We start from the raw sequence: 12,013 nt of genomic DNA on the forward strand, positions 1-12,013 counted from the left end.
TATGTTCCATTCAGAAGTAGTGTTAGAAATAAAGGATTGCAGACAAAACTGTACTTTGGAAAAGGGAAAATAATTGGTTCACTCAAGGGGCACTTTTTTGGCAAACCCAAGGCAACTCACAATGGTACATATGCTTGTCTATCCCAGTGCACATGATGAGACCTGAAATCGAGAGGTCACTTCTGTTTGTGGGAAAGCCAGGATCACTTAATTGGCCAGAAGAGCCAGAAGCAAGCTAACCTATCAACCTAGCTTTTAATCTATGAGGCAGAATCTATTCCCTGACTTTTTCACACAGGTGATGATGCTCATAAGTTCTCCCAGCAGCTGGGCAGACTGACGAGTCAGGAATGTACCAGGTTCCCCACCCTGAGTTCAGGCTGGGCTCACTCTAGCACTCAGGTGGGTTATATGCAGGAGAAACCAAGGAACCTCCAGGAAGAAGATGCATTCCAAGGGGAGAGTGAAGCCAAGTGCACCTTTCTGAATCAAAGATAATGAGCCAGGATCAGCGGGTGTGCTGAGGGTGATTCCGCACAGCGTCCCCCACCCTGAGTGTCCTATGTCCCATGGGAGAGCAGCTGCAATTGCATGGATGAATAAAACCAAAATGACTCCGACTCCCTCTCCCTCTCCCTCTCTCTCCCTCCTTCTCCCCACGGTCTCCCTCTCCCTCTCTTTCCAGGGTCTCCCTCTGATGACGAGCCGAAGCGGGACTGTACTGCCGCCATCTCTGCTCACTGCAACCTCCCTGCCTGATTCTTCTGCCTCAGCCTGCCGAGTGCCTGCGATTGCAGGCGCGCGCCGCCACGCCTGACTGGTTTTCGTATTTTTTTGGTGGAGACGGGGTTTCGCTTTGTTGGCCGGGCTGGTCTCCAGCTCCTAACCGGGAGTGATCTGCCAGCTTCGGCCTCCCGAGTTGCCGGGATTGCAGACGGAGTCTCATTCACTCAGTGCTCAATGTTGCCCAGGCTGGAGTGCAGTGGCGTGATCTCGGGTAGCTACAACCTCCACCTCCCAGCCGCCTGCCTTGGCTTCCCAAAGTGCCCAGATTGCAGCCTCTGCCCAGCCGCCACCCCGTCTGGGAAGTGAGGAGCGTCTCTGCCTGGCTGCCCATCGTCTGGGATGTGAGGAGCCCCTCTGCCCGGCTGCCCAGTCTGGGAAGTGAGGAGCACCTCTTCCCGGCCACCATCCCGTCTAGGAAGTGAGGAGCGTCTCTGCCTGGCCGCCCATCGTCTGAGATGTGGGGAGCGCCTCTGCCCCGCCGCCCCGTCTGGGATGTGAGGAGCGCCTCTGCCCGGCCCCGACCCCGTCTGGGAGGTGAGGAGCGTCTCTGCCCCGCCGCCCTCTCTGAGAAGTGAGGAGCCCCTCCGTCCGGCAGCCGCCCCTTCCGGGAGGGAGGTGGGGGGCCAGCCCCCGCCCGGCCAGCCGCCCCGTCCGGGAGGGAGGTGGGGGGCCAGCCCCCGACCGGCCAGCCGCCCTGTCCGGGAGGGAGGTGGGGGGGTCAGCCCCCACCCGGCCAGCCCCTTCTGGGAAGTGAGGAGCCCCTCTGCCCAGCCGCCACCCCGTCTGGGAGGTGTACCCAACAGCTCATTGAGAACGGGCCATGATGACGATGGCGGTTTTGTCGAATAGAAAAGGGGGAAATGTGGGGAAAAGATAGAGAAATCAGATTGTTGCTGTGTCTGTGTGGAAAGAGGTAGACATAGGAGACTCCATTTTGTTCTGTACTGGGAAAAATTCTTCTGCCTTGGGATGCTGTTGATCTTTGACCTTACCCCCAACCCGGTGCTCTCTGAAACATGTGCTGTGTCCACTCAGGGTTAAATGGATTAAGGGCGGTGCAAGATGTGCTTTGTTAAACAGATGCTTGAAGGCAGCATGCTCGTTAAGAGTCATCACCACTCCCTAATCTCAAGTACCCAGGGACACAAACACTGCGGAAGGCCCCAGGGTCCTCTGCCTAGGAAAACCAGAGATCTTTGTTCACTTGTTTATCTGCTGACCTTCCCTCCACTATTGTCCTATGACCCTGCCAAATCCCCCTCTTCGAGAAACACCCAAGAATGATCAATAAAAAAAAAAAAAAAAAAAAAAATGAAACAAAAAAGGGCCGTTTTCCAGAAGTCATGGGTAGCACCTGGCTAGTGCAAAGTGCAGTCTTGGGTGCTGTGCTGCCTGCAGCCTCCGCAGTGGGAGATGGTACCTAAACAAGGTATTGGGAAGAGTTGCAGCAGTAATGGCATCATTAACAGGCAGGGCATGGGGCCTTGGGGCCTCAGGGGCAGCTATTTGTGGGCATCAGAAGTGGCATTAGTGCTATCCACAGACAACAACACCACCCCTATGGCCACCTGTGGGCATCTATAGGGGTGGATGATGCCTTGATGATTTCCTTGGATGTCATGGCTAAGCCATTGTTTTTTGGCAGCTGCAGCTTCTGAAGATGTTACTGAGAGCCACAGAGAAAGTGAAGACGGCTAAGACAACCAGGTCATGCGAGACATGCCCAAGACGCCCAGATTGCTTAAAAGACATTTGGGAAAGGGAGCATTTAAAGTTCTTTCCAGAGGATGGATGGGGACAAAACTACCTGGAGAGCCTATTTTTTATTCCCAGGCAAATATGACTGAAAAAAAAAAAATCACAGGTGTTAAAGAAGAAAAATAAAATTGGATGAAAAAATGTCTCTGCTTTTTCTGGTGATGCAAATACAAGGCATCATCCATTTAGAAGAAATAAATACATTTTTTCTTTCCACTCCAAAATGCCAACATTTACAAATGAGTTATAGAAGTCACTTCTGGAAGGCAAAATACTCTCCATGGTTCATTTCCTCAGTCACTCAACAAATAGTAACTAAAAATAGATGAAGTTCCCAGCTAGTGCAAATGTCTGTCAGGGATAAGTAACAACAGAAACAACAATATATAATTTATGCCAGACTTTTTTACATGAGCAACCTCATCTAACACTTATGACCCTACTGTGACAAGTACCATTTTCTCCTATTTTAAAGATGAAAAAACTGAGGCTTAGACAAGTTATGTGACTTGGTGAAGATAATAGAAATATTAAGGGAAAGAACAAGGTCACACATTTGGATCTTCCAATTCTAGCCCTAGATTCTTCCCATCCCCCACAACAAATATAAGATACGGTCCTATTCTCTGCTTTCAAGAAACAGACACAAACCCATTAAAGAACTAGAAACTAGAACCTGTTTCTATTCTCTCCTGGTTCTAAAGGATGGATGCAGAAGAGACTGATAGTTCAGGCAGGAGAGGAATCAATGGAAGCTGGAATTGTCAAGGAGTTGTTCCAGAGCAGGAGAGATATAAGGATCTGAACAGGCAAACAGGAAACAGGCAGAGTTGAGTAGAAGTATATTCTGAGCGGTGGACAAGATGAAGAAATATGAGCTTTCTTCCTAAGGTGTGCTGGAGTGATGAGATACAGCACAGTAGTGGTGTCCAGTCCTGCATTCTTTCCTTCCCCAACATCTCTGAAGCACCTAGCATGCACCAGGCACCTTGTTACACCCAGTAGCACACACCCCCTATGACATGGCCCCTTCCCCGTGAAGCTCACAGCCTAACGTGTTGAGGCAGCTGAACCCCACGTGATTCCCAGCCCAGCCAAACTGTCTCCTACTATCCATGATGAAAACATCAGAAGTTGCCAGGCCAAATCTTGCTTGGCTTCTCAAATCAGGCTGTTTATCAGCACTGCTTCACACAGATAAAACCTCTCAATATGGAGCTAAAGTGGAAAAAAACTCAGCACGTAAAAATAAACTGCCCAAATCGTGTTCCCTCCCCACTCCATTCAGCGCCCAGTATCACTACACACGTGAAAATGCCACACAGCCCTGGACCCGAGCAGCAGAGCAGCTGCTGTGTGTGGACACAAAGTACAACTCAGAGCCCTCTCCACTTCTGCTCCAATTGTCGTAGCCTCGTCTGAACTCTGAGCTGGACACTCCACTGCAGGATACAGAGCATGAATTGAGAGAAAGCTTCCTAACCTTCATATTGTCAACTGGTGTCTTGCTGCATTTGCCACAGATCCCATAGTGTGGTGTTAGAAATGGTGTTGACACACTCCCACATATCTTTAGCATTACATTTCCCATGTTGCTCCTCCTTATATCTTTATCTGCACTTGGTTTATAAGTGAAATCAACTGATAAGGCTTCCATTTCATACCATCTGTTATGTGTCACCAACGCTGGTTTTGTAAAAGAGATGAGAAGGATCTAAGACTATTGAAACTTTCACAGTCATTTCCAGCTCGGTAGGCTAGAAACTGAATCTTAAAGAGTCACTGGACATACTCAAAGAAGAACTTCCCACTCCAAGACACATAATTGTCAGATTCACCAAAGTTGAAATGAAGGAAAAAATGTTAAGGGCAGCCAGAGAGAAAGGTCGGGTTACCCTCAAAGGGAAGCCCATCAGACTAACAGCGGATCTCTCGGCAGAAACCCTACAAGCCAGAAGAGAGTAGGGGCCAATATTCAACATTCTTAAAGACAAGAATTTACAACCCAGAATTTCATATCCAGCCAAACTAAGCTTCATAAGTGAAGGAGAAATAAAACACTTTACAGACAAGCAAATGCTGAGAGATTTTGTCACCACCAGGCCTGCCCTAAAAGAGCTCCTGAAGGAAGCGCTAAACATGGAAAGGAACAACCGGTACCAGCCGCTGCAAAATCATGCCAAAATGTAAAGACCATCGAGACTAGGAAGAAACTGCATCAACTAACGAGCAAAATAACCAGCTAACATCATAATGACAGGATCAAATTCACACATAACAATATTAACTTTAAATGTAAATGGACTAAATGTTCCAATTAAAAGACACAGACTGGCAAATTGGATAAAGAGTCAAGACCCATCAGTGTGCCGTATTCAGGAAACCCACCTCATGTGCAGAGACACACATAGGCTCAAAATAAAAGGATGGAGGAAGATCTACCAAGCAAATGGAAAACAAAAAAAGGCAGGGGTTGCAATCCTAGTCTCTGATAAAACAGACTTTAAACCAACAAAGATCAAAAGAGACAAAGAAGGCCATTACATAATGGTAAAGGGATCAATTCAACAAGAAGAGCTAACTATCCTAAATATATATGCACCCAATACAGGAGCACCCAGATTCATAAAGCAAGTCCTGAGTGACCTACAAAGAGACTTAGACTCCCACACATTAATAATGGGAGACTTTAACACCCCACTGTCAACATTAGACAGATCAACGAGACAGAAAGTCAACAAGGATACCCAGGAATTGAACTCAGCTCTGCACCAAGCGGACGTAATAGACATCTACAGAACTCTCCACCCCAAATCAACAGAATATACATTTTTTTCAGCACCACACCACACCTATTCCAAAATTGACCACACACTTGGAAGTAAAGCTCTCCTCAGCAAATGTAAAAGAACAGAGATTATAACAAACTATCTCTCAGACCACAGTGCAATCAAACTAGAACTCGGGATTAAGAATCTCACTCAAAACTGCTCAACTACATGGAAACTGAACAACCTGCTCCTGAATGACTAGTGGATACATAACGAAACGAAGGCAGAAATAAAGATGTTCTTTGAAACCAACGAGAACAAAGACACAACATACCAGAATCTCTGGGACACATTCAAAGCAGTGTGTAGAGGGAAATTTATAGCACTAAATGCCCACAAGAGAAAGCAGGAAAGATCCAAAATTGACACCCTAACATCACAATTAAAAGAACTAGAAAAGCAAGAGCAAACACATTCAAAAGCTAGCAGAAGGCAAGAAATAACTAAAATCAGAGCAGAACTGAAGGAAACAGAGACACAAAAAACCCTTCAAAAAATTAAGGAATCCAGGAGCTGGTTTTTTGAAAGGATCAACAAAATTGATAGACCGCTAGCAAGACTAATAAAGAAAAAAAGAGAGAAGAATCAAATAGACACAATAAAAAATGATAAAGGGGATATCACCACCGATCCCACACAAATACAAACTACCATCAGAGAATACTACAAACACCTCTACGCAAATAAACTAGAAAATCTAGAAGAAATGGATAAATTCCTCGACACATAAACTCCCCAAAGACTAAACCAGGAAGAAGTTGAATCTCTGAATAGACCAATAACAGGAGCTGAAATTGTGGCAATAGTCAATAATTTACCAACCAAAAAGAGTCCAGGACCAGATGGATTCACAGCCGAATTCTATCAGAGGTACAAGGAGGAACTGGTACCATTCCTTCTGAAACTATTCCAATCAATAGAAAAAGAGGGAATCCTCCCTAACTCATTTTATGAGGCCAGCATCATTCTGATACCAAAGCCAGGCAGAGACACAACCAAAAAAGAGAATTTTAGACCAATATCCTTGATGAACATTGATGCAAAAATCCTCAATAAAATACTGGCAAAACGAATCCAGCAGCACATCAAAAAGCTTATCCACCATGATCAAGTGGGCTTCATCCCTGGGATGCAAGGTTGGTTCAATATACGCAAATCAATAAATGTAATCCAGCATATAAACAGAGCCAAAGACAAAAACCACATGATTATCTCAATAGATGCAGAAAAAGCCTTTGACAAAATTCAACAACGCTTCAGGCTAAAAACTCTCAATAAATTAGGTATTGATGGGACGTATTTCAAAATAATAAGAGCTATCTATGACAAACCCACAGCCAATATCATACTGAATGGGCAAAAACTGAAAGCATTCCCTTTGAAAACTGGCACAAGACAGGGATGCCCTCTCTCACCACTCCTATTCAACATAGTGTTGGAAGCTCTGGCCAGGGCAATTAGGCAGGAGAAGGAAATAAAGGGTATTCAATTAGGAAAAGAGGAAGTCAAATTGTCCCTGTTTGCAGATGACATGATTGTATATCTAGAAAACCCCATTGTCTCAGCCCAAAATCTGCTTAAGCTGATAAGCAACTTCAGCAAAGTCTCAGGATACAAAATCACTGTACAAAAATCAGAAGCATTCCTATACACCAATAACAGACAAACAGAGAGCCAAATCATGAGTGAACTCCCATTCATAATTGCTACAAAGAGGATAAAATACCTAGGAATCCAACTTACAAGGGATGTGAAGGACCTCTTCAAGGAGAACTACAAACCACTGCTCAAGGAAATAAAAGAGGAGACAAACAAATGGAAGAACATTCCATGCTCATGGGTAGGAAGAATCAATATCGTGAAAATGGCCATACTGCCCAAGGTAATTTACAGATTCAATGCCATCCCCATCAAGCTACCAATGACTTTCTTCACAGAATTGGAAAAAATACTTTAAAGTTCATATGGAACCAAAAAAGAGCCCACATCGCCAAGTCAGTCCTAAGCCAAAAGAACAAAGCTGGAGGCATCACACTACCTGACTTCAAACTATACTCCAAGGCTACAGTAACCAAAACAGCATGGTACTGGTACCAAAACAGAGATATAGATCAATGGAACAGAACGGAGCCCTCAGAAATAACGCCGCATATCTACAACTATCTGATCTTTGACAAACCTGAGAAAAACAAGCAATGGGGAAAGGATTCCCTATTTAATAAATGGTGCTGGGAAAACTGGCTAGCCATATGTAGAAAGCTGAAACTGTATCCCTTCCTTACACCTTATACAAAAATCAATTCAAGATGGATTAAAGACTTAAACGTTAGACCTAAAACCATAAAAACCCTAGAAGAAAACCTAGGCATTACCATTCAGGACATAGGCATGAGCAAGGACTTCATGTCCAAAACACCAAAAGCAATGGCAACAAAAGACAAAATTGACAAATGGGATCTAATTAAACTAAAGAGCTTCTGCACAGCAAAAGAAACTACCATCAGAGTGAACAGGCAACCTACAGAATGGGAGAAAATTTTTGCAACCTACTCATCTGACAAAGGGCTAATATCCAGAATCTACAATGAACTCAAACAAATTTACAAGAAAAAAACAAACAACCCCATCAAAAAGTGGGCAAAGGACATGAACAGACACTTCTCAAAAGAAGACATTTATGCAGCCAAAAAACACATGAAAAAATGCTCATCATCACTGGCCATCAGAGAAAAGCAAATCAAAACCACTATGAGATACCATCTCACACCAGTTAGAATGGCGATCATTAAAAAGTCAGGAAACAACAGGTGCTGGAGAGGATGTGGAGAAATGGGAACACTTTTACACTGTTGGTGGGACTGTAAACTAGTTCAACCATTGTGGAAGTCAGTGTGGCGATTCCTCAGGGATCTAGAACTAGAAATACCATTTGACCCAGCCATCCCATTACTGGGTATATACCCAGAGGACTATAAATCATGCTGCTATAAAGACACATGCACACGTCTGTTTATTGCGGCATTATTCACAATAGCAAAGACTTGGAACCAACCCAAATGTACAACAATGATAGACTGGATTAAGAAAATGTGGCACATATACACCATGGAATACTATGCAGCCATAAAAAATGATGAGTTCATGTCCTTTGTAGGGACATGGATGAAATTGGAAATCATCATTCTCAGTAAACTATCGCAAGAACAAAAAACCAAACACCGCATATTCTCACTCATAGGTGGGAATTGAACAATGAGATCACATGGACACAGGAAGGGGAATATCACACTCTGGGGACGGTGGTGGGGTGGGGGGTGGGGGGAGGGATAGCATTGGGAGATATACCTAATGCTAGATGACGAGTTAGTGGGTGCAGCGCACCAGCATGGCACATATATACATATGTAACTAACCTGCACAATGTGCACATGTACCCTAAAACTTAAAGTATAAAAAAAAAAAAAAAGAACTTCCCATAAATGTGAGATGGGAGTAAAATCTTTACAAGTGGATGGTGAAAGCAATTGTCTTATGGAGGTCTGTCTTATGGAGGAGTGCCCTGTTTGGGCCCCAGTGGATTTGGTATTCATCACCTATTGACCTATGTGGGGTTTCTACTGGATTTAACAAAAGTGAAAGAAGCCTGTTGCCAAAAACTTCAAGGGCAAATTCTATTAAACCTTGAAGTTTCAAGTGAAATGCCAAATCTTCTTGAACTATTAGGTTGTTGCAAAAGTAATTACAGTTTTTGCCATTAAAATTAATGATTCCCTAGACTCCAAGACCAGTTATTTTTGCTGAGCTCTCCAAGCACTTGAAGGGCCTCATTCAGCTCTCATTACATTCTGGGCAGATGGTGAGCTTCTTGAGGGCATGGACTTGCTTTATTCCTCTTTGCAGTCATCCAGTAATGACAGACTGGATGACTCAATACATACTTACTGAGGAAAACTGGGCATTTTTCTCCAGTTATGTGTTGCTTTGACTTACCACATTAACATGGGTTTTGTATCTTTTTAAAAATCCATCTTAAGGCTGGGCGTGGTGACTCATGCCTGTAATCCCAGCACTTTGGGAGGCCGAGGTGGGTGGATCATGAGGTTAGGAGTTCGAGACCAGCCTGGCCAACATGGTGAAACCTCGCCTCTACTAAAAATACGAAAATTAGCTGGGTGTGGTGATGCATGCCTGTAATCCCAGCTACTGGGGAGGCTGAGGCAGGAGAATGGCTTGAACCCAGGAGGTGGAGTTTGCAGTGAGCCGAGATTGTGCCACTGCACTCCAGCCTGGGTGACAGAGCAAGACTCCATCTCAAAAACAAACAAACAAAAAAATAATTGTAACGTGTATGTGTTATTCAAGATTGCTGGCATTGTCTCGTTTTAAAGTACTCATGAACATTAGGAAATATGATAATACATACAAAACATATAGTATATTTCATTATATAGTAAGTACTCAATAAATATCAGGCAGACCTCCATAAGACCTCCAATTGTTGTCATTCATAAGGTTACCCTGGCATTGACTTCATGTCTTTAAAAATTCCTGGTTCTAAATGCAATACAAATATTTTTCAAAAGATGCTAAATATTCTTGGGAATTCAACACAATAAGAACTCACATTTATACAGTGCAAAAGATTTTGTGAGTCGATTTTTACAAAGTTACAACTGCTGTCTTTTGCTGGAGAAGAAATGGAGACTTGGCCCCCATATATGCTCTATTCAAGGTCACAGAGCCAGGGTGGAGCAAGAGGAGTCAGGCCCAAACAAGAATGCTGACTTCCAATCCTGACAGTCCCAACGCCTCTCTAGTTCTTCCTTGCTGCTTTCCAACATTTTTTTAGTTTATCCATTTTGTGTATTCCACTGAGAAAAGGACACTTTATAGACGTATATTCTGCAAAGAGGTCAGATGACATCTGAAATTGCAAAGCGGTAGACAAAGCTTTTGAGCAGGATGGTATATTATTGAAAACAGTTAGAAAATAATGAACAACATTGTAATCGCTGGCACAATTTTAAAAAAGATTGCTTTACCTGGTTTTGTTTCCTTTCTGGTTAGATAATTTCACCAGCCTGTTTGTAACAAAAAGAAGCAGGGCAAGCAGATTCTCTTGCTGGAAATTTAATAGCATGAAGTTCAGTGATGAATAGAATTATTTCTCTTATTTTGATCATGCTTTGCCCACAGTATGAACTCAATAAACACTTGTTCAAACAAATTATTATTACAATGACTTGTTTTTTTTTTCCACTGGGCAGTAATAACTTTAATTTGTATAATGCTTTATAGTTTACAAAACATATTCTTCATGTATTACCATTTAATTCTCACAGCAATTCCAAAAGGTAGATACTAATTTCTTCATTTTACAAATCAGGAAGCAGACGCCCAGGTAAGACAGGTAATTTGTCCAAGGTCAAAACTGCTCACAGAGCAAGACCTGCTAGAAAACAATGACAATTTAAAAGAAAACTGGTCTTTTAGGGGAGGAAGTATAGCAGAATGGGAAAGTATAGGAGCTTTGAACCAAACCACCCAGGTTCAAACCATGTCTGTACGATGCACTAGCTCTGTGATGATGCACAGGTTTCATAAATATTCTGTGTCTTGGTTTCTTCATGTATAAAATGCAAGTAACGATAATAGCTGCTTAGCAGTATATTAGTTTGTTAGGATGACTTATATGAAGTGTTTGGCATTTATTGAGTACTCATCTTAAGGACTCAATAAATAGCTATTACTGTTACAATGATTACTCTTTCTGTCCTCAGAAAAGTATCTTAGTAGGCCCCCTCATCCTTTCAATTATCAGTACATACCAGTCTATTATAAATTGTAGAGGAAGCTGTGAGTTAGGGACATAGCTCAAGCACTGGAGGTCCTCCGTGTGAGTCTTGGTCCCACCTTTATCAGCTGTGAGATCAGGAGCAAGTTTTCGAATCTTTCTGATGGCCAGATTCTGCATCTATGAAATGGTATCACTCTTGTCCTATCAGCCTCACAGTGCTGCTGTATAAGTCAGGTGAGAGCTGAAGGGAAGGCACTAGGTAGTCCATTCATTCACTCATTCATTCATAGCCTGTTGGCAGTGTGCCTCCTAAGTGCCAGGCACTGTGCTAAACAGTGGTGATTCAAAAATGAGTCAAGACGATGGAGGAGACAGACGGGTAGAATGATAAGTAACTGTATTAGAATATGCGTTCAAGTAAGGTATTATTACAATGCACTTATACTGAAATAGACACTTTGCGGGCTATAAGAGTGCTTTAAAAATGTGAATTCAGCCCACATTCTCACTGCAGAGAAAAGACTAAAATCCTCTCAGCAACCACATTCAGGAACTTTGCCAAGAAAGGCAGGTGAGGACTCCATTGTGCCTGTCATCCTTCAGCATGGAAGAACTAGTAACTGCAAGGGCTATGATTGTAGCTGTTGTTCCAACAGTTCTGTGACAACACGTACCTCCTCAAACACAATGCAACAGTGAGGCCTAATGTCCCAGGATTTATTTTCATTAAGTCGATGCTTATGGAACACCTAATATGTGACAATCACTGTGCCTGGTAAATAATGTTGGAAAGAACACTTTGCTCAGTCCCTGAGGGGGCTATAGTTCAGTGAGGCAGAGA

General features: G+C 43.2%; 1 protein-coding gene across 2 annotated transcripts in view, besides 1 other annotated feature; it reads right to left on the reverse strand.

The window, feature by feature from the left end:
* The window catches only part of RORA (RAR related orphan receptor A), a 741,019-nt gene that overhangs the window by 457,330 nt on the left and 271,676 nt on the right, over nucleotides 1-12,013 (reverse strand). The gene's annotated exons all lie outside the window — the stretch shown is intronic.
* Nucleotides 1,355-2,112: an enhancer, noted in NCBI's record as "NANOG-H3K27ac hESC enhancer chr15:61239167-61239924 (GRCh37/hg19 assembly coordinates)". NCBI's record gives its function as "activates a minimal SCP1, AML or CMV promoter by ChIP-STARR-seq in naive H9 embryonic stem cells {active_cell/tissue: H9 hESC(naive)}" and the evidence as "EXISTENCE:reporter gene assay evidence [ECO:0000049][PMID:30033119]".

Source organism: Homo sapiens, chromosome 15, assembly GCF_000001405.40.
Source record: "Homo sapiens chromosome 15, GRCh38.p14 Primary Assembly".
In the NCBI taxonomy this organism is placed as follows: domain Eukaryota; kingdom Metazoa; phylum Chordata; class Mammalia; order Primates; family Hominidae; genus Homo; species Homo sapiens.